Raw genomic sequence first — 23356 nt, forward strand, 5'->3', positions numbered from 1 at the left:
CAGCTCCTGAGGCTTCTGCATTCTTCAGGTAGTTCTTGAGCCTTGGTTTTCAGCTCCATCAGCTCCTTTAAGCACTTCTCTGTATTGGTTATTCTAGTTATACATTCTTCTAAATTTTTTTCAAAGTTTTCAACTTCTTTGCCTTTGGTTTGAATGTCCTCCCATAGCTCAGAGTAATTTGATCGTCTGAAGCCTTCTTCTCTCAGCTCGTCAAAGTTGTTCTCCGTCCAGCTTTGTTCCGTTGCTGGTGAGGAACTGCATTCCTTTGGAGGAGGAGAGGCGCTCTGCTTTTTAGAGTTTCCAGTTTTTCTATTCTGTTTTTTCCCCATCTTTGTGGTTTTATCTACTTTTGGTCTTTGATGATGGTGATGTACAGATGGGTTTTTGGTGTGGATGTCCTTTCTGTTTGTCAGTTTTCCTTCTAACAGACAGGACCCTCAGCTGCAGGTCTGTTGGAATACCCTGCCGTGTGAGGTGTCAGTGTGCCCCTGCTGGGGGGTGCCTCCCAGTTAGGCTGCTCGTGGGTCAGGGGTCAGGGACCCACTTGAGGAGGCAGTCTGCCCGTTCTCAGATCTCCAGCTGCGTACTGGGAGAACCACTGCTCTCTCCAAAGCTGTCAGACAGGGACATTTAAGTCTGCAGAGGTTACTGCTGTCTTTTTGTTTGTCTGTGCCCTGCCCCCAGAGGTGGAGCCTACAGAGGCAGGCAGGCCTCCTTGAGCTGTAGTGGGCTCCACCCAGTTGGAGATTCCCGGCTGCTTTGTTTACCTAAGCAAGCCTGGGCACTGGCCGGCGCCCCTCTCCCAGCCTTGTTGCCGCCTTGCAGTTTGATCTCAGACTGCTGTGCTAGCAATCAGTGAGACTCCGTGGGCGTAGGACCCTCTGAGCCAGGTGCGGGATATAATCTTGTGCTGCGCCGTTTTTTAAGCCCGTCGGAAAAGTGCAGTATTTGGGTGGGAGTGACCCAATTTTCCAGGTGCCGTCTGTCACCCCTTTCTTTGACTAGGAAAGGGAACTCCCTGACCCCTTGCGCTTCCCGAGTGAGGCAATGCCTCACCCTGCTTCGGCTCAAGCACAGTGCACGCACCCACTGACCTGCGCCCACTGTCTGGCACTCCCTAGTGAGATGAACCCGGTACCTCAGATGGAAATGCAGAAATCACCGTCTTCTGCGTCGCTCACGCTGGGAGCTGTAGACCCGAGCTGTTCCTATTCGGCCATCTTGGCTCCTCCTCTGAAATGTATTATTAGAATTAATTTTACCTGAAATTTTTGTTTTCTTGCCTGCTTTACATTTTAATGTAAAACAAATGCTGCTACTAGAAAATGCAATAGAATAAAACCAAAAAGAAATGTGAGGATTAAAATGGAAGAGATAAAACTATCACTATTTCCAGATGATCTTTATAGAAAATCTACCAGGCTTAATAAACAAACGATCAGCATATTTAGAGAGTTCAACAAGGTAGCTGAATACAAGGTCAATTTACACATACACTTTACCAGAAATAATCACCTAAAATATTTACCAGGAAACAAGACACATTTACGATGGCAACAAGATGATAAAATATCCAGGAACTAATCTAGAAGAAGGTAAAACAAAAACTTTATGCAAAATATATTTTAAACTTTATTAAAGAACATGCTATAAGACCTATATACAGAGAGAGTTTCAGCAAATCCAGGCAACAGATTATGATGGTTGTGACTTGGGTGGTACTAAAAATTAGTTTGATTCTGGAAATATTTTGACAATAGAGCCTACAGAATTTCCTGATGGATAGGATGCGAAGCTTGAGAGAACAACAACAACAAAAAGAGTTAAGAAAGGATCCAAGATTTTTGTTCTGAACAACAGGAAGAATGCACTTGTGTTTTAGGAGGTAGATTGTGCAGAGCCAGTTTGAAAGGAAAGATTGGAAGTTTGCTCATGGACATGCTAAGTTTGAGATATCTGTTGAACACCAAAATGAGGTGAAAATGCAGTGTAATATATGAGCCTAGAATTCAGGAGAGAGGCACAGGCTAGAGATGCATACCAGAAAGTCATCAGTGAACAAATGGCGTTAGAGCCATGAGGCTGGCTGGCCTTCCAAAGGGAGTGAATACAGATAGAAAAGGCGACTAAGGATTGCGTCTTGAGCTCTCCAACGTGGCCAGAGAGCGGGGAGAAAAATGAGAGAGTGAAACATTGAATGAAGGTGTTTCATGGAAGAGAGGGAGAACAATAATTTTAAATGACAGGTTAAGGAAAATAAAGACTGAACATTGACCATTGGATATAGGAATGTGGAGGTCATTCATGAATTGAAAAGGAACAATGTACATTAGCAAATTCTGTCAGCTTTACTTTCAATGTGTACTTGGTTGGGGCAAAACCATGATTCAAGGGAGAATGAAACGAGAGAAATTGGATACAGTGACTATAGACAATGCTTGGAGAAGTTTTGATGCAGAAAAAGAAGAGAAGTGAGGTATCAGGAGGGAGAAGGAGGGTCAGCATGGGTTGTTGTTGACTTTAAAGAAGAACTCACAATATTCTTGAGAAGTGAGTTAAATTTAGTAGAGGGAAAAGCTGATAATGGAGGAGAGAGGAAGCATTGGGTAGACAAAGAAGGTGGGATTGAGGGGTTGCCCTTGGTGGGAACATGGAAAACTCACTTCTATGAATAGGAGAGAGTTCAAGGACATAGACACAGTTGCAGGTAGGCGGGCGGATGCAGGGTTGCAGTTTGTGGACATTTTCACAGTATTGCTTCCCTTTTCTCTGTGAGGTAGAAATCACAGTATGAGGAAGAAATGGGGGAAGAAGTTTTGAGGAGAGAGCAGAAGGTATAAACTCTGCTAGACGAGAGGAAAAGTGTCTTACCTCGTATCATACACACAAATAAACTAACTGGATTAAAAGTTTAGCTGTGAAAACCATTCTCACAGCTAGTGCAAGAAAATACAAAACTTATGTCACTTTGGGGCAAGTATAAATTTCTTAAATGAGATCTAAAAAGTACCAGTGTTAAGGGGGAAAATGAATAGATTTGACACAAAACTCCTTCGAAGACTTACACTGTGGGCAGAAAGCCACCCAGGTGCCGAAGCAAGAGACTGAAGGCACAAGATGTTCCAATATAATTAAGAAAATAGTTAGGATAAGAGAAAGTTGTATTAGAAATAGGATATAGAGATGATTATGGATATTATCAATCATTAGTTTTCAGTATTAACCTTTGTATTATTCTTATAACCAAAGAAAAACCAGGCCATACAGTGTTAGGAGCTGAAGGGACATTGTGAGAAGTGACCAAAAGACAAGAGTGTGAGCCCTCTGTCACGCCCAGATAAGGGCTGCTTGAGGGCTCCTTGGTCTAGCTGTAGCGCCAGTGCCTGGGAAAGCACCCATTACTTAGCAGACCGGGAAAGGGAGTTTCCCTTTTCCTGGGGGAGTTAGAGAACACTCTGCTCCACCAGCCTCTTGTGGGAGGTCTGACATTAGCCAGGCCTGCCCACAGTCGTCTGGAGGCTTAAACATCTCCCTGTGGTGCTGTGCTTCAGTGGTCATGCTCTTTGTCCACTTTCATGTTCTGCCTGTATACCTGGCTCCTCTTTTTAAGTTCTTAGAAGATAGCAGTAGCAGAGTTAGTGAAAGTATTAAAGTCTTTGATCTTTCTGATAAGTGCATAGAAAAAATGCTGACGTATGCTGTCCTCCCTCTCTGCTTCGGCTACCACAAAGGGCCCCCTGTCACATGGACATTTGATTTGCTTGACCTTATCAATCATTTGAGATGACTCACACTCCTTACCCTGACCCCTTGCCTTGTATACAATAAATAGCAGTGTGTCCAGGCATTCGAGGCCACTACTGGATTCCACGCTTTGGTGATAGTGGCCACCTGGGCCCAGCTGTCTTTCTTACTCTCTTTTTTTTTTTTTTTTGAGATGGAGTCTTGCTCTGTCTCCCAGGCTGGAGTGCAGTGGTGTGATCTTGGCTCACTGCAAGCTCTGCCTCCCAGGATCATGCCATTCTTCTGCCTCAGCCTCCCAAGTAGCTGGGACTACAGGCACACGCCACCACGCCGGGCTAATTTTTTGTATTTTTAGTAGAGACGGGGGTTTCACCATGTTAGCCAGGATGGTCTCAATCTCCTGAACTCGTGATCCGCCCGCCTGTGTCTCCCAAAGTACGGGGATTACAGGTGTGAGCCACTGCACCTGGCCTTGTCTCGTGTCTTATTTTTCCTACGATCTCTCGTCTCCGCACACGAAGAGGCCTATAGGGCTGGACCCTACATTATACGGGTTGAGTAGCCTTATCCAAAATGCCTGGGACCAGAAGAGTTTCAGGTTTTGAATTTCTTTTGAATTTTGGAATATTTGCATATAATGATATCTTGGGAATGGGACCCAAGTTTAAACATGAAATTCATATATATTTTGCATATTTATTATACCTATAGACTGAAAGTAATTTTATGCATGATTTTAAATAATTTTGTGCATAAAACAAAGTGTGTCGACATTGACCTATCAGAAAGCAAAGGCGTGACTATCTCGGCCATCTCTGTGGACAATCTGTAGTTGTTTAGCATCACCATCATTCCTGACTCTGAATTTATATAATGCCGATAAGCAGTCATTCTCTTACACTTACTGACATACCATTATTACAGTGAGAGAATAAAGTGTAAGCAGCACAGTAGCATCACCAGACACCTGGAACAACTGTTAAACAACAGCAACAGTAAGCAACCTTTCAGTCTCCACTTATGATGCCTTGCTTGGAGTAAAAGTTTACTGTAACTGTAATTTTTTTCTTTTTTTTTTTAGGTGAGGGAAACATTAGAGGCATTGAGGGACCAGGAAGTGTGTCCTCTAGGGATGAGGAGGCATTCTGCTGAGTGGCCTTTCTAAATGTTTCCTCCAGTCATCTGCCTCGTTATCTGCGGGTTTTGTCTTAGAAATCTCTTTTTGATTTTATAAACTGACATGACTTCACGTTCTATTACGAATGCATGCTGCCCTAGTCCTTCGATAAGTCCTTCACACATCTTCACCATGTTGTCTCTAGGCACTTTTTCTGAAGCGTTAACATCGTCCTCACTGTCACTATTATCAGAATCATCTTGATTCAGAACCATTTTTACTGCTTCATCATTGGTCGGTGAACGAATAACTGGAGCCTCATTATCAATGTTAAAATCTTCAATATCCACTTCTTCCAGCTTGCTAATGGACTCTGAAGGAATATTTTTACCATATGTAAGGAAGTCAGCCATCTTTTTTTTCTCACTTGACATACAGAATCTTTCAAAGACACGACCTTGTTCATCATTATCATTAAACATAGTTACAGACCAGAGGTTGTGCCAGGCATGCACGACTGTGTCTTAGTCACTGTGTTTCATGCATTGGCAATGGCATATATGGCATTCTTCATGTTAAACTCCTTTTGAAAACCCCCCACAACCACACCTCCGTTCACTGCTGCTAGCATGCTGTTCAAGAAAGTGTTTCTGTAATCACTTTTGATTGATCTAAGGATTCTCTGGTCACATGGCTGAATTAATGATGTCATATTTGGAGGAAATGACACAGCATAAGCATGATTTTGTTGAGAATTTCAGCTGGAGGATGAGCAGAACAGTTGTTGAAGGAAAAACAAAATCTTTCAGTCGATCATCCAGTCCAGCTTCCCTGCAGTGAGCACAAGCCACTGGTACAAAATGTTTGTGAAATGAATCAAAAACTATGCCCCAGGTGATCCATGTATTTTTGTTAGCATAACAATTGGACTGGTAAGAAATTCACTTCTTGAAAACAGCATGAATGCAAGTCTGCCCATCACAGCAAGTGTACACTTACGCGTGCCTGCTGCATTAGCACATCCCAGCCGTTATTCTGTCCTTGGCATCCTTCATTCCTGTCTCATCAGCTGGAGTTAATGTCTTTCTGGGGCAGTAACACCGCAACAAGGATGTTTCATCAGTGTTATAGACTGTTTCTGGCATCAGATTTTCATCAGTGATGATTCTGGCAAATTTGTCAATGAATTTCTCTACTACTTTGTGATCAGCAGATGCTTTATCACCACAAATCTTTAAACATATAATGCCACGTCTTTTCTAAAATTTCTGCAGCCAGCCTGTTGAATATTCACACTTCCCTTCAATTTTCAGTTTATTGTGATAGATCTTCTCTTGTTTCATAATCAGCATACCATTAAGTGGCATGTGTTCACAGGGATGCTGACAGATCAACTCTTTCAATACATGATCAAGACCTTCGTGTTCATCTTTACCCAGTGTTTTCCTACTTTTTCATTAACTTCTGCTTATCACTTTTAGCATAGAATGGCATTAGTTTTATCCTTCTATTTCTTCAGATCACATATTGTGGTCATTCCAACACCATACTCCTCTGTAAGATGTTTCATGCACCATTGTCCAGTTTCTCCAACAGCTTGACTTCCTGTGCTATAAACATAAATACTTTCTCTTTTTTTTAAATCACTGTTACCCATAGGGTTATCTGCAGGCCTTTTTGACATTTTCAACAATATCTTTATCCCACAGAGTAGAGAATACACACACACACACACACACACACACACACACACACACACACACACACACACACACACACAGTAAGTAATGCACAGAGGTCTTGGCCTCCTGTGGAGCATTGAGGGGAACCTGCAGTCAGCGTGTCTCGCCTGGATCAGTGCTATTTTATTATTGTTCATGAGCGTGCTTGCGTGGGGAATCTGGGTGTCTGCCAAAAAGATAGATGGCAGCTGAAGGGGCCTGGGAGGATCTTTTTTCCCCTGGGGACACAGAATAAACTGGGTGTCGTGTGCCTGCATTTCAACTGTGACCCATCACATGAGGTTGGGCATAGAATTTTTCACTTGTGGTATCATGTCGGTGCTCAAAACATTTCAGATTTTGGATCATTTCAGATTTTCGGACTAGAGCTGCTCAACCTATTTACCGTCAGTCTTTCCTCAACACTTGTTTTCTTTCCAGTACACACTCCAAATAGTCTCCCGTCCTGCCACTTCCTCAAGCCTGACATCTCGAAGGTCAGCAATGTTCCCACAGGGACAAATCTCGAGGGCAATTCTCTGCCCTGATTTACCTCCACCTGGTAAGAGCTTCCAGCACATTGGGGCAGGCTCTCCTATGCAGACACTCCCTCCACCTGGCTCATGGAATCCCACCGCCTCTTGGCTTTTCCTTTACGTCCTCAGCTTCCTTGGCTGGGTGCTCCTCCCATGCTTCGAACCTCAGAATAGTGAAGCCTCCCCAGTGGAGCGTCCTCAGACTCTTCCTCCAGGGTCACTCACTTTGTAAGTGATCTCTTAGTTCTGTGATTTCACAAATATTATCTGCACACTAATGACTCCCAAACTTTTGATTCTGACCACAGCCTCCCCGCCTGGATTCCAGGCTTCTATACACAATAGCCTCTTTAACATCTCCATTTCTATCACTAGCAGGCCTCCCAAACTCAAACTCTTTAAAATCACACTTGCTATTCCTCCCTCAAACCTGTCCCTTCCTGAATGTGCCACACTTTATTATTGTTACCCTTGAGTCCTCATCTTCCCTCTCCACTTCATATTTAATCCATCAGCTCTACTTTCAAAGTCTATCAGGATATGACCACTTCTGAATGTATCCACTACTCTCACCCTGGCCCAGGCCACATCATATCTCCCTGCTCATGGCGATTCCTGCTTTACTTGCCCTCCCACGTCCATTCTCCTCACCCCCTTCTTCTTTGTATCCAAATACTTTAAGTATACAAATGATATCATATCACTCTCCCACTCAAAACCCTCCAGTGGATTCCCAGCATTCTTAAAACAAAATCCAGTGTCCTTACCTTGGCCTCTAGGGTCGTATATGATGTGGTCCTTGATCTCATTTCTTGCCCTTCACCCCTTCATCTGCCACCCTTTGGGCCCTCTGGCCTTTTAGCTCTTCTGGAAGCAATTGCTCAACTCAAGGCTGAATGAGCCCATGGCTCTCTCCTCCAATGTCAGGACCAGGAGCAAGGTTTCCTGACCCATTGCCCGATTTAAATAGCACCTCCCGTTAAATCTCTTCCTGTTTGTCTTGCTTTATTTCTCTTTATAGCTCTTATCATTACCTGGGTGTGTGTGTATAATTTTTTTGGCCAATATCTCTCACTAGATTATAAATTTCATGAGAATAAAGCCATGTTCTGTTTTCTTCACCACTGCAGATTTATTGAATGATAAAATGAATGAGTGAATTCAAATGACTGAATACAGCATTGCGGATAGATCATATAAACATTGTGTTAAGTGAAAAATTAAGAAATATAATGGAAATTGTAACGCAATACTCGTTATATAAGTTATGAGCACAAGCTTCAAGGAAATTCAATGAGGGAAAGAAAGTGTTTTCAACAAATGGTGCTGGAATAACTGGATAAGTATATGGAAAGAAAAATGAACTTCAATCCTTATTTATACTATACATAACTATACATGAGTGATAGGCTAGAACATAAAAGTTTGAATTATAAATGTCCTAGAAACAAATATAGAAAAATATATTCATGAGCTTAGGAGAATGTAGGCAAAGTTTTCCTGGCTAGCACCAAAAAGAGTACTAACCATAAATGAACAAACAAAAACAACCCCCGATACAATAGGCTTCATGAAAATTTAAAATGTCTGGTTAATCAAAAGACACCATTAAGAAAAGGTAAAGGCAAGCCATGGACTGGGAGAAAATATTTACTGTATATAAATCTAAAATATGTAAAGAACTTCTAAGAATCAACAGTAAAAATAGAAGCAATGCAATTTTAAATGGGAAAAGGATCTAGACTCTTCTTTAAAGAAGAAATAAATAACCAATAAGCACATGAAAAGATACTCTATCAAAAGTCATCAGAGAACTTCCAATTAAAACTGCAGTAAGATATTCTAGACCCCAAGAATGAAACATTCACATGGCACTGGGGGCAATGTGCAATAGCATGAACACTGTGGAGTGCGGTTTTCCAGTTTCTTATGAAGTTAAACATATAACTTCCTAATGAATCAGCAATTCTGTTCCTGGGCATTTGCCCAGAAGAAATGGAAACCCATGTCCACAATAAAGACTTGTGCAGAAACATCCAGAGCAGCATTACCCACGATAGCCAAAAAGTGCCACCAACCCAACTTCATCAACTGTTGATGGATAAAGTACATCCATTCACACAATGGAATATTGCTCTGCAACAAAAAAAAGAATGAACTACATGGATGACTTAAAAACATTATGTTAAGTGAAAGAAGCCAGACGTAAAAGGCTGTGAGGTTCCAGTTCAGCAACAGGCAAAATGCATGTAGAAATCTGAACAGTGGGTGCCTCTGGAGGGTGAGAGTTGACTGGAAGGTGGCACAAGGGGACTTTCCAGAGAGATGAAAGTGTTCGGTACCTTGGTTGGGGTGGTGGTTTTACTGGTATATACCTTTGTCAAAACACCTCAAACTGTACAATTAAGATCTGCATATTTAATGAAAGAAAAGTACACTTACAAAAACACATATAGAGCAAGCCTATATATATTTCAGAGATCATTGCCTATCTAAGGACGTATAGTAAGTACTTTTGAATGGGCCTTTTCTGGGGGAGGGGATTTTTTGAGGACAGCATGTAAAATATTTTATAAAATAACAAAAGAACTCAGAAACTGATGAAGACAGCCTGTCATGAAATGAGGAGAGCGACTATATGCAGAATTTGCACCAGAGATAAGAAAGGAAAGCAGATGGGCAGGCAGGAAGAAAGGGAGCAAGATGGGAAGTCAAGAAAGAAGGTGGGGAGGCAGGGGAGGGAAAACGGAAAAGGAGTTGTGTGGAGAGGACAAGTCATAGAAAGGAGGGAGGAAGAGAGAAAGGAGAGAGAGGGAACAAGAGAGAGAGAAGAATTAACTAAATACTATGCCGAGATTGCCTTTTCTTTCATTCTATTTGTCCTCTGCACTTAACCAGCTCATAAGCCCTTGGGAGGGAGGCACTATTTTTTATAAGTCCTTGCTCCTGCCAGTGGGCAGAACTTGTCGGCTGGTGGGTTAGTTAACAGGCAGCAAGAGACTGCGTATCAACGCCAGGTGTGCACTTTGTAGCACAGACAGCCCTTTCATCCAGATTTAAGGGAGGAAAATCCTGGTAGCATTTTACTGGAAACACTTTAGAGGCTGAGGCCTTTGTGATTTCATCAGCTAGGGCTCCCACAGGCCCCAGAGGGCCTTTTAATTATTGGGAGGGGCCTCCAGGGTGCCTCAGTCTCTTCCTACAGGTGCATGGGGTGCTGATTTTAACACACACGATGTGCCTATTTCTTCAGCAGGACTCAGTGTGAACTGAGCCACCACCTGGCTCTCTTGCTTTCAGTGGCTCTCACCGCGGCCTGAAGCCCCCTGTGCCGGGACAGTTACAGTTGTCTCTGGATTCTGGCAGCTCTGTGCTCCCATTCTGCACCCATGAATTAGCTTTGCTCACTCCTGCTACAGTTCAGTTTGGCTCAATAATCACTTAGTGAGCTCCTTCCAGATGCAGACCCAGGGTGGGTGCTAGGGTACAGGATGACTGAGTCATGGTCCTGCCCTCAAGGGGCTTGCGTGTAGAGTGGAAGACATAAGGAGACAGAATTGTGAAAAGAGGCAGCAAATGCAAAAAGAGCCACAGGGGCTGGGAATCAGGTACAGGGCCCAGGCTGTGGTTCCAGGAAAGACTTCCCAGAGATGATGCCTGAGCTGCATCTCAAAGCTCCTGCAGCTCTAAATTTGGCTGCTCTTTCTCCCTAGACGTTCCAAGGCTCACAGGAGCGAGATCCCAACAAGGGTCAGCCATGCTTCTGGAAGCCCCTGCTCCTGGCTGCCAACTCTGCATCATAAGGTATCATAAGGACTTTCATGATGGGGAACACGTTGTTTCCAACATCCTCCGGATCTCACTTCAAGCCCGGCATGTGCTACCAGGAGCCACAGAAACAAAAGACCCGGGTTCAAGTTACAGCTCCAGTTCCTACTAGCTGAGTGACCATGGCAATTTAGTCAGCCTCTGTCTGCATGAATTTCCCCATGTATAAAGTGAGATCATTGACAGCCTTCTCAGAACATGGTCACGAGGATAAAATGGGTAATGTTTGTACAGCTCATAGCCCCGAGGCTGGTGCCTGGTGTGCAGTAACCACCATCTTCCCATCTTCCTCTTCCTCCGTGGGGGCAGCAGTTTTCCAGCTGTGCTTCACGGAAACCACAATTGCATCTGGTTTACTTGCTGGCAATCACAGGGTATCTGCAAAAGAAACTAGGCTTCCACATGTTAGTGAAAGTAGTAGAATTTTCATCTTTTAAGCATCTGTGGAGACATTATTTATGAATCCAATTTCTGTTTTTATTCTATCTGCAAATTACATTCTTATCATCATCCTGTAGAGGCAAATTTATTCCCAAACATAATCACAGATTACCAAAAATAAAAAAGTATAAGTATTGTCATCCATGGATAGGGAGTTTATTACATTTGCCTTACAATGACCCAGATAAATGTAATGAGAATGAGAGAGAGGGGACAGAGGATATTATGTCTCCCAAACCTCTGTCTCAGCTACTACTACTTTGATACTTATTTATATCAGCCTCACCTTAACATCTCTCAGGTGAAATGCTTTCTAAAACCCTGGCTCTATGATTCAAAAATATAAAAACACTCTAGATATTCCAGCTCTAGGTTACTCACAGAAAACTAATTCACTGAAAGTCAATTCATCTAAGGATCTATTTCCATAATGACCAATTCATCAAATTTTCCAACTTATAAAATATATATTCCTTTCAGCTGCTTATGAAGCTTATAGCAATTCATTCAGATGCGTAGACAGGGCCCAGGAGAGCCATGGGAAGTCAGGACTGCAGGGATCTGGGTCCCTCAAATCCTCCTTTGCTTTTCAGAGTCCTCCTCTGTCTGCCTACAGAACCAATTATCCCCCAATTTAATGGCTTAAAAGAACAACAAGTATTTATTATCTCCCATAATTTCTGTGGGTCAGGAGTTCAGGGGCAGATTAGCTGGATGGTTCTGGCTTGGAGTCTCTTGTAAGGTCACAATTAAGGTGATTTGTCATTTGAGACTGGAGCTGGAACATCTACCCCCTAGATGGCTACTCACCGGCTGTGGGCAGGAGGCCTTGGCTTCTTGCCATGTGCTCCTCTCCCTAGAACTGCTTCCGTGTCCTCCCAACATGGCGTCTTGCTATCCCAGTGTAAGTGATCCAAGAGAGAGGAAGGGGGAAACTGCTATGTTATTTCTGCATTGTCCTCTTGGTTACACAAATCATTCCTATCCAGCATGGAAGAGGATGACACAAGGAAGGGGAGACCCAAAGGTAGAACTCACTGGAGGCTGGTGACCAAACTGCCCCTCTTTGACCCTCAGACTACTCCTCCTCTGTCTCTTAGTCTTCCCTTCCCTCTGCCATTCCCAATCTATTGCTAGAAATTTTATAAAAAACTAAAACAAACTTTTTTGGGGGGTAAATCAGTCAATTCAGTAAAACTGGAGAAAGGGTTTTTAAAAAGCTAAAATGTAGGCAAGACAGAAAATGGCTTTACCAAGGACTAGAAAGAAATTAGTTAAAAATTAAAAACTTCCCTTGCCAAGCATTGAAATATTGCACAAGGCGAATATATTTATTTTATTATTTTATTTTATTATTATTTTTTGAGAACGAGTCTTGCTTTGTCACCCAGGCTGGGGTGCAGTAGAGCGATCTCTGCTCACTGCAACCTCTGCTTCCTGGGTTCAAGCGATTCTCCTGTCTCAGCCTCCTGAGTAGCTGAGACTACAGGCGCGTGCCACCATGCCTGGCTAATTTTTGTGTCTCCGTGCCCAGCCTGACAAATATATATAAATTCACCAAGTATGGCCAGAAAGCCTCTCCCTTCAAACAGGCTTTTTGTAAGTAGGTGGAGTGGGTATCCCCAGAACGTATCCTTTCACAAGTGGGCTTTCAGAGAACTGGCCTGCTGCATAAAATCCTCCACTTTTGGCTGTGAAACCTATGTTGGCTGCCACTTACCTTTTTCAGGCTCCTGTCGGGGAATGTGGGGGTTCTTGTGCGCACCACCTCTCCAGCCAGGCTTCAGCTCCCTACGTCCCTAATCCTCAGATCTGCTGCCTCAGGTGCCCTTGGTGAAGCAGTCTGCACTGGTGGGTTCCACTGATAATGTCAAAGCTGCTTCCACTCCTTCAGCAACTCTATTACATAGGCATCAGATGATCCTTCTTCCCACAGAGGCTGGAGAGGCTGTGGGACCTGTCACACAGGCCACACAACAAAAAGGACAGAGTGAGGATTCAAACCTCACTGTGTCTGATTCCAATCACATCTGGCCATCTCATCCCCTCTGCTTCTGACTGTGAGTGGCAGCGTTGCCTCCTCAAACCTTCAGTCACCTGTTGCACCTCAGCCATGGAATTCCAGACACTCCATCCCCTGAGAGGGGCTGCATTATTCCCAGTGGGGGCTCCTGGTGGGCCTGTCTTGGAGAGACCCTTCCCTACCTTCCTCACTGTGCCTGCAGTCCCCAGGCTTGTGACTGCCTGTCTAAATGTAGTTATCAGGGGCGCCCTGGAGCCCTCAGGGGCCAGCCAATGGCCAGAGAGCGACAAAGAGCACATTCCTCCCCTGAGCCAGGAAGGCTTCCTCGAGGTTGCACATGAGCATGGGCTGATTGCTGCTGTCTGAAGAGGACAGAGAATGAATCATTTCAAAGAACTTTCAAGCCACCAGAGAGAAAAAAGAAAGAAAATCCTTTTCAATTTGCTCTCTTTCCTCCCTCTCCTTATTTTACCTGTCTTTCTCTCTTCACCTCTCTTTCTACCTTTCTTCCTCTGGTTCTCTGTCTTGCCATCTCGCAGTCTCCTGCATGTCTCTCTGTCTGGCTCTGTCTCTTTTGCTGTTTCTCCTGTGTCTCTGTCCCTCATGTCTAGGTTTTCCTTTGAGGTCGGGGATTACGCTGACTCTCCCTCTGGGTCCCTGACTCATTGTCTGGAATCAGGGACCACCAACAGGTGATAGCTGGAGAAAGGAGAGGTCACAGGAGTGACAGAAAACTGTCCAGAGTTGTTTCGGGGGGCAGACCCACTTCAGCCATCAGTAGAATTGGGTGACATCCTTGGATTTGTGCGCCATCGCTGGGCTGACACTTAGGGTCATCTGGAGCGGAGAGAAGGGACTGTGAGCATGATGCTGAAAGGCTGGAGGAACTCACCTGCCATCTTACCTGTTTTGCAGAAAACCATAAGCACTGGCTCTGATTTTCTAGCAGGCTTTGTTGCCCTACGGAATGGGATAGGGCTTGACTCATGCCACTGCTGGGTGGCATGTATGGCCATGGTTGTGGGTAGGTGGCAACCCAGTGACCACTCTTTGTTTACAGCATGGAGAAATGGGCAGAGGAAACCCAGATGTCCCAGGGGCATGTCTCAGGCGGCCGGTGCCACTGCCCAGGGCTCTGTAGCCATGAGGCGCTGGGAGCACTTGCCCCGTGCTCCTTTTGAACATTGCTTATGGAGGGGTGCAGCCCCTTGGGTGTCCTTGGAAAGCACAGGCGTATCACGGAGCAAATGAGAGCAGCTAGATGAAACCAGCGCCCATGCCTCGGTGACAAATCATGAGCACTACATTTTTATGAAAAATAGATCATTTAAAAATATTTTTCCTACTCGTGAAGCCTTATTTTTTCCTGCAAAGTACAAGTGTCTTTTCTATAATACCCTGACAGTGTATTTTAAGTTACAGCAAGTATTTTGAATAAGGCAGTCATCAAATTTCCACTCTGGAGGTTATTTCTAGAAGTTGTCCCCTGCTTTTATAAAGATAGCTCATTTCTTCTTGAAGTGACTCTGACTCTTTTTCATTTCTCTCTTTCTCTCTTTTAAAAGGCAGCACAACTGGCTAGCTCATTATGCCTATTTCTGCACAATTAGGAAGGGCCCAGCACACTTTCACTTCAGAGTGATGTATTTCGTGGTGATGACTGATACTGGGGTTGACCAGAGAGCAGAGAGAGATGAAGTGCTGTGAGAAATCTCAGCAGAGGAGGAAGTGATCTGTCGAAGACGAGATGGAATTAGCCGAACGTTACTTTCAAACTCAGTGGCCTGGGATCCATCATGGGGCCAAAGCTGGCTCAGGCCAAAACAGTAGAGCAGCACATTTTGTTCTGAGTCTTGCCAGCCGCCTTCCCCACCACAGCCTCCAATTTTGGCATTCCTTGCTTGCTTTATTCCTGAAGAGATATTGAATAGCTACCGTTTATATATTGTTAGGGCTTTACAAAGTTGTTTTTGTTTTGTTTTTCGTTTTTTGATACGGAGCCTCGCTCTGTCACCCAGGCTGGAGTGCAGTGGCACGATCTCAGCTCACTGCAAGCTCCGCCTCCCAAGTTCATGCCATTCTCCTGCCTCAGCCTCTCCCGAGTAGCTGGGACTATAGGCATGCACCACCGTGCCTGGCTAATTTTTTTGTATTTTTAGTGGAGACAGAGTTTCACCATGTTAGCCAGGGTGGTCTCGATCTCCTGACCTCATGATCCGCCTGCCTCGACCTCCCAAAGTGCTGGGATTACAGGCGTGAGCCACCATGCCCGGCCTAAAAAGTATTTTTTAAAAATAAGGTGCTGGTCCTTATATTGTGATGTTATAAAATGCCTCTGCCGAGGTCTGTTCTTAGAGAAACACAGGGCTCTTTGCTGTGGATATCTTCTATTTGAGTGGAAGGACAGGTCGACATGCGGCGGTAAAGGAAAGCCTCACCTTTTACTGCATGGTAGCAGGAACACATGATCAAACCCTCTACGTTCTTGGAGGGAGGAGGCCCAGGCGTCAGCCCCCGTGTTGGTATTGAATTCAATGTTCCCATGTGATGAGTCCATTGAGAGGAGAAAGTTAATTTAACTCGACCGGACTGTACGTCAATGCCATTAGGAAAACCACACTGCAAGAGTGAATGAGGCATCACGCCAACCCCGGGGAGTTGTCCAGACAAGGAGATAAAGCTTATGCATGGGGAAGATACAAGATATACAATAGTAGGTGCCATAAGTAAGGCTCAGAGGGCTGTGGGGGCTTAGAGCAAAGGCAGAGGACAAGGGGAAGGATTTAAGGAGGAGGCGGTTTTTGCCTTGAGAACTCCATAGCATTCAATGGCCAGAGAGACAGGTTATGAATAACCTTGAACACCAGACTATGGAATTTGACTCTATCTAACAGTGTAAGAGAAGGGATGCCAAATGCACTGTTGATGCGCCACAACTATCCTATCCCTGTACCTAACCACCTCCTACACAAAGCCAAGAAACACCAGTGATCCATTGTGGCCCTTCTTCGTGGCCTGACTATGGCCTCAGAATCCAGATGTTCCTCAGTATATAAAAGCAAAAGGACCAAGTATCTTGCAGTAGCCACAGAGGTGCCTGCCTGCAAGCAAACCTTTTGCAGAGATCACAGCTGATTGAAACCTCCGGGAAGCTGCACCTCTGGATCCATCAGGGTGTTCGCACCTGGCCGCACTTCTGCCAGCTGCCTCCGGCCAACACTGAGCCTGGCAGTGGTGCTAGAAGTGGGCCATTCTTGCCCTCTGGGTGATTCCCTTTATGGGCAGCTTTGGCTCAAGGACTTGCCATCTGTCTGCCTAGGACTCGCTCAGGACTGCCATGAGATCTGGGGCTCTTCCTGTCCAATGCTCCTTCCCTCTCAGCTTCTCCTGCTCCCACCTCCTTAGGCTTCACAGGTGGCTATCCCCTAGAATCTCTTGCACTTTGAATTTTATTTCAGTATCTGCTTCTTGGAGGACACATGCCCATTACCAATTAATTGTGTCACATTTAAGTCTAAAACTTTTGCTGTTCCTCTTCTTGAAAATGGGAAACCATGGACATTTGGGAGGCAGGGGGTGAAATGCTTAGTCTGTCCCTCAGCAGTGTGAGCAAAACGCATTTGACTAGAGTCAGGGAGGCAAATTAGGGTTACTGCTGTAATTCAGGCTGTGCACACCTGGACAAGGGTGGTGGCAGCGGGACTGGAAAAGAGGAGTGGCCACAAGTGACATAGCCACATCTGCCTCATCTGACTGCCATCTCTCCAATCAGCATGGAAAAAAATGATAAACAATGGGTTTTTTTAAGGAAAGAACACTGACGTAGAGGTCAGGAAGCCTGGGCTCAGCTCCAGCACTAACCAGCCGTGCACCCCAGGAAATGACAGCAGCTCTCTGAACTCAGCTTCCAACACCTGGAAATGGACAGGGAGGGGTGGGATGAGGTGATCTGGCAATTCACTAGTGTTCTCACATGCAGCCCTCCCCTTTTAACGTAACACAACATTTGCCATTTTAGTCATTTTTAGGGGTACAGTTTAGTGGCATTAGGAAAATTACACTGTAAGAGTGAATGAGGCATCACCCAACCCTCAGGAGCTGTCCAGAGAAGGAGGTGGAGTTTGTGCATGGGGAAGATACAAGACATACAATAGTAAGTGGTATTGGATGCCACAGTATCCACTAGATGGATGTTATGCACCCATCACCAACATCCATCTTCAGGACTTTTTCATCTCCCCAAACGAAAACTCTGTCCGCATGAAACACCAACTCCCCATTTCCCCTCCTTCCCCAGCAGCTCCTGGCCCTTCTCATGCTACTTTCCGTTGTTATGATTTTGACTACTCTAGTACTGCATGTACGTGGAATCACACAGTATCTGTCCTTTTGTGTCTGGCTGATTTCACTGAGCATAATGTTCCTCCATGTTGCAGTGTGTCAGAATTTCCTTCCTTTTCAAGGCTCAATAATATTTCATTGTGTAGATGACCACATTCTGTTTATCCATTCATCACTAAGAGACACTTGGATTTCTTCCACCATTTGGCTGTTGGGAATAATGCTGCCATTAACACGGGGGTGTAAATATCTCTTCCAGATCCCGTGTTTGATTCTTTGGGGTGTATACCCAGAAGTGGGATTGTTGGGTCACACGGTAGCTTGCTGTTGTCTAAGCAGCGCTTTCCCAAACTTCCCAACAGAGCAGCCACACAGCCACTGTAAATGAGTGCAGGAACTAGTAACCGTCCAGTAGTGGCCAACATATCACGCTCTATTTTACGAATTCACCCAGATTCAGCATTCTGCATCACATCATATCCTTGTTTGTTTATAAAAGTGTTGCTTTATACTACATTCCAGTGTAAGGAACACTTTGCTCTGCAGAGTCCAAAAAGCCCTGCTTCTCCTGTGGCTTCCCCGGGCTGGGCTGTGATGGCAGTGCCCAGCTGGACGAGCACCCAGAACAGGGTTGCAGTTAAGATCCCGTCCAGCTCTGACACTCTCTGACTTAAAGCAACACCCCTCCCAGTGGCTTCTTCATTTTCAACAAAAGTGAAGTGAGCTCAGGACTCTTGCTGCCGAGCCAGGAGGCGTGAGTCACTAGCCATGGGAATTTCAGGCATCTGCGTGTGTGCGATGGCGGCTGGAAATGGAGAGGGAGCATTTCTAGAGCTGAAATGTCGCAGAGGCACAGCCCCCAGTGGGTCTGGCACAAAAGCAGCGTTATATCGAGAGGCCTGGCAGCGCTGCCTGGGCTTGTTTCCCAGCTCTTGCAGCTCTCGGGGGGTTCTAGAAGATCGTCCAGACTATGACTCATTCCTGTGTTACTGTAATAGAGAAAGAAGTAGGTGGCAGTGTGACATGGATTTCACGGAGAATTAGTGAGAAATCTGTGTCCACTCAAGCACATTTTATGTTGTCTGAATGTGAGGATTCTCCTTTGGGCTGTTTATGGGCAGGGTGGGAGAGAGATCGCAGAGGTGCAGTCATGGGCTTCCAGAGGCTTTTTACAATTCTGTAGTGGCCATGCTGGGAAGACGCCCTGAGAAGACACTGCGACTGTCCATGTGACAGCTGCGGGAGTGAAAGCCATTGGAAATTCCTCCAAACCCATTGAGCCAAGGCTGCCACTGCCATGTCCCATCCAGGTGAGGCTTTGGCCAGAGCTGGCTATGGACTGGTTTGCATTTCCCTGCTTTTGATTTCCCTGACAGTCTACGGTGGAAATGCCCATGGGGAGTGAGGAGATGGAAGAGAACACAAAGGCAGACAGGAAAGGCTGAGAAGGTTCTCCCATTGGACACATAGTCCTCAGATGCATGAACTGTCCCTTGAGAGAGAGGAGTGGGACTGTAGGTCTAAATTCACATCACTGTAAATTCCATTTGTATCTTCACGGGATGTGACGAGGACCATAATGTCAACGCTCTTGAGACGTCTGCCCACAGGTGCCCTCGTGCTGAAGCTTTCCCTCCCAGCTCCCATTTCAGGAATGAAGTGTTTCTTCCCCTAGCTGCAGCAGATGTCACCAGTGGACAGTCTTCAGTGGACAGCTCTCTTCTGGAAATACCCTAGCTGAAGGGAGCCAGTCTAAGCTGCACAGCTCTTCCTGATGCAGACTATACACCAGCCATGATGCCGAAGTCAACTTGCAAGTGGAGAGAGAAGGAATTCAGACCAGAAATGGACTAGGGTTCACAGCTGAAAAATACCAGTAGTGGCCATGAGGTAGGTTGTGTGAGCCACAGACCTGAGAGACACCGTGGGCAGCAGCAGGAGAGGCGGTGGTGACAGAGGCCAGCACCCCAGGCCCCTGGTCTGCAAACACCTCCAGTGAAGCCAGGGCAGAGTGGTGACCAGGCGCCATCCTCCTCCACTGTCATGACAGCAGGTGAGACCTGGAATGTGTGTGCAACCCCACAGGGAGCCAGGATCAGGAACACTTGAATTCATTAAAGTAAAGTAACCCCAAACTGACAGAGAAGCCTTGAACTGAAAGAGAAATTACTTAATTGCCTGAGAAATAGCTAAATTTATTTTTGCACACCTGAGGCTTGTGAACAATCTGAACTTCATACCTGCTCCACAGTGTTTGCAGTTTAATCACTTCTTTCCTGCTTTTCATTACAACGGCAGGGGGAACAGAATAGGGTGCCAGGACAAGGCCCACAGACACAGCTCAGTAAGCTCTCCAGCTCTCCAACAAAATCCTACCTGCGAGGGTGTGGCAGCCATGGAAATGCCTTGCTCAAATCTCTCTGCAAGAGAAGCTTCTGTGGAGAACACTGCTGACTACAGCCTCCAGCTGCTAAGCCTTGGATCCATCATGGCGGCCAAGCCAGGTCCCACCTCCCCAGGCTACCCAGAGAGGGTGCCAAAGCCAGGACTCTGGAGGATTCCTCTTCCTGGCAGCTTTGGCCCAGGGACTCCCAGTGGCCCAACTGGGACTCTCAGGGCTTCTGTGACATCTGAGGCTCCTCCTGACCATCCTTCTTCCCTCTCTGCCCTCACAGGGGTCAGACCCGCACTTCAGTCTGAGGGTCCTCCCTGCCTTCCTATGCTCCCTCCCCTTTGTCACCAAATGTCTCCTCCAATAAACCTCTGGCATGTCTACTCTAGTCCTAGCATCTGCTTTTCAGAGCACCTAAACTGACAAGGGAGAAGGAAGATGTTCCCTGGAAAGCACTCAGCATAAAAAAAACAAGAGATGGCCTGAGGATCTTGACTCGGGAATAGGCTTTGCTAGAGAGAGGCAGGGATCAGAGCGTAGTATGCCATCTTGTGTTTGAAGCCAGCGTTGGCCCAGCTCCCTGGACTCCTGTTTGGGTTCTGAAGTCAGAGGATGTGACAAAAACGTTCATCAAACTTTGCGACATGCTAGGGGGTGCCTCTCCACCAGAGTGTAACCCAAAGCGGGGGCATTCTCTCCAATATGGACACGAGTCCAGCTTGGAATCCCTAAGATCTCCCGGTTGATCTCCCAGTGTTCCTGGTGGGGGCTCCCTCCCAGGCCTGCAGCAGCCTTGGCAGGCAGAGCAGCTACCTGCAGGAGGGACCTGTGTGGAACAGCACTGGAGTGGCACCTGTGACATCAGAACCAACTGACTGCTTGCTTGTTTGGTGGTTGCTGTTTTATTTTCTCTAATGACACCCCTCCAGCTTCAAAATACCATGGTTTTATTCCACGTAGGTCTTGCCTCCCTGACCAGACTGTAAGCTCCCTATGTCAGGGATTATATTTTCTGTGTTTTCATCCATTTCTAGGGACATCATAGAAATCCAGGATATACTGGTTGGCCATTGGTAGTTACATAATTGTCCAAATTTTATTTTTTATTTTTATTTATTTTTTTGAGATGGAGTCTCACTCTGTCACCCAGGCTAGAGTGCAGTGGCATGATCTTGCTCATTGCAACCTCCACTGAGTTCAAGCGATTCTCCTGCCTCAGCCTCCCAAGTAGCTGGGTGAACGTCACCACATCCCACTCATTTTTGTATTTTTAGTAGAGACGGTGTTTCACCATGTTGGTCAGGCTGGTCTTGAGCTCCTGACCTTAAGTGATTTGCCCACCTCAGCCTCACAGAGTGCTGGGATTACAGGTATGAGTCACTGTGCCCAGCCTCAAAATTTATTTTAGACCTTCAACTCTTTGTATAGTTTCATGTGCAAGGGCACTATATCAATACTGTTTGAGGATGGTTATTTTCCAATTGCTATTCCTCTTGATATGAAAGCTATGATGAGCAAGAAATTCAGAGATATAAAAAGAAATTGTTTTTTCAAAAGATGAATTTATCAACTCACGATAACATACCAGGCATAGTGATGGGCTTTGCAGGGGGAATGATGACACAAAGATGAGCAGGACACAACCCCTGTCGTGCACTCATGTGGCCTGATGGGAGGGACAGGCATGAATCAATAGGTCTTATACAATAGGATAAGAGCTACAGAGTCTGGGGACCCGGGGGTTCTGACGGCACAGGAAAGAGGGTGACTAACTTTATCTTGAAATCCTCAGGAACGCTCTGGAGAGGATTAGTAATTGAACTGGCTCTTGCAGGCTGAGTAGGTGTTTGCCAGTTGACAACAGAATGTAGGGGGAGGATGTCCAAGAAGAGGAGAGGAGGGCTTTACAAGTGCAGAAAGGCCAGGAAATCACAGTCTTCCCAGAATGTGTGGAAAGTGAGAGGCTTAGGGGCATGGCCAGCCATGGGCAGTGAAGCAGCTTAGCCCTAGGTTTTCAAGGCCTTTAAACACCACCCTTGGGAACCCAAACTTTGCCCTTGAGTTTGTTACTGTGGAGCCGTGTAACGTTCTGGAGGGTAGTCATATTTTATATTTCAGTTATGGAAACTTTACTGCTTTATTAAATAGAAAAACATCAATTGTTGGTTTTTTGCATACCTTACCAGTGTTCACTCAAAGACATGTTTCCTTATTTATTTATTGCTGTTGCATTTTTTTAAACTTTTATTTTAGATTCAAAGGTACATGTGCAGTTTTATTATATAGGTAAACTGTGTGTCAAAGGGGCTTGGTGTACACGTTATTTTGTCACCCAGGTAATAAGCATAGTACCTGATAGGTAGTTTTTCAATCCTCTCCCTCCTCCAACAACAGATATGGCCCCCTGTCTGTTGTTTCCTACTTTGTGTCCACTTGTACTCAACATTTAGCTTCCATTTTTAAGTGAGAACATGTGGTATTTGGCTTTCTGCTCTTGTGTTAGTTTGCTTAGGATAATGGCCTCCAGCTCCATCCATGTTGCTGCAAAGGACATGATGTCATTCTTTTTTATGGCTGCATAGTATTCCATTGTGTGTGTGTGTGTGTGTGTGTGTGTGTGTGTGTGTGTGTGTATCACATTTTTTAAATCCAGTCTACCATTGATGGGCATTTATGTTCATTCCATGTCTTTGCTTTTGTGAATAGTGCTTCGATGAACATACTTGTGCATGTGTCTTTATGGTAGAAAGATTTATATTCCTTTGGGTATATATCCAGTAATGGGATGACTGGGTTGAATGGTAATTCTATTTTAAGTTATTTGAGGAATCGCCACACTGCTTTTCACAATGGTTGAATTAATTTACACTCCCACCAGCAGTGTATAAGCATCCCCTTTTCTCCACAACCTCGCTAGCATCTATTATTTTTTTACTTTTTAATAATACAATTTCTGACTGGTGTGAGATGGTATCTCATTGTGGTTGCAGTTTGCATTTCTCTAATGCTTAGTGATGTTGAGCATTTTTCATGTTTGTTGGCTGCAAATATGTCTTCTTTTGAAAAGTGTCTGTTCATATGCTTTGCCCACTTTTTAATGGGGTGTGTTTTCTGCTTATAAATTTGTTTAAATTCCTGATAGATTCTGGATATTAGACCTTTGTCAGATGCAAGTTTGCAAATATTTTCCCTCCATTAAAGACGTTAAGTTTA

General features: G+C 45.1%; 1 long non-coding RNA gene across 3 annotated transcripts, besides 1 other annotated feature; it reads right to left on the reverse strand.

Annotated features, from left to right (window-relative positions):
* Positions 319-923: an enhancer, noted in NCBI's record as "H3K27ac-H3K4me1 hESC enhancer chr6:4334078-4334682 (GRCh37/hg19 assembly coordinates)". NCBI's record gives its function as "activates a minimal SCP1, AML or CMV promoter by ChIP-STARR-seq in primed H9 embryonic stem cells {active_cell/tissue: H9 hESC(primed)}" and the evidence as "EXISTENCE:reporter gene assay evidence [ECO:0000049][PMID:30033119]".
* On the reverse strand, positions 8229-13637 carry LOC101927888 (uncharacterized). 3 transcript variants are annotated; one of them, NR_187665.1, is made up of 4 exons: positions 13485-13637; positions 13108-13344; positions 12198-12281; positions 8229-11324 (listed from the first exon to the last, which is right to left on the reverse strand). It is a non-coding gene; the product is annotated as an uncharacterized LOC101927888 (long non-coding RNA). The 3 variants fall into 3 exon arrangements; NR_187664.1 differs by having other exon boundaries at positions 13108-13637; NR_187663.1 differs by having other exon boundaries at positions 8229-11341; positions 13108-13637.
* Positions 13638-23356: the final 9719 nt, after the last annotated feature.

The sequence above is a fragment of the Homo sapiens genome, chromosome 6 (genome assembly GCF_000001405.40).
Source record: "Homo sapiens chromosome 6, GRCh38.p14 Primary Assembly".
Lineage (NCBI taxonomy): Eukaryota > Metazoa > Chordata > Mammalia > Primates > Hominidae > Homo > Homo sapiens.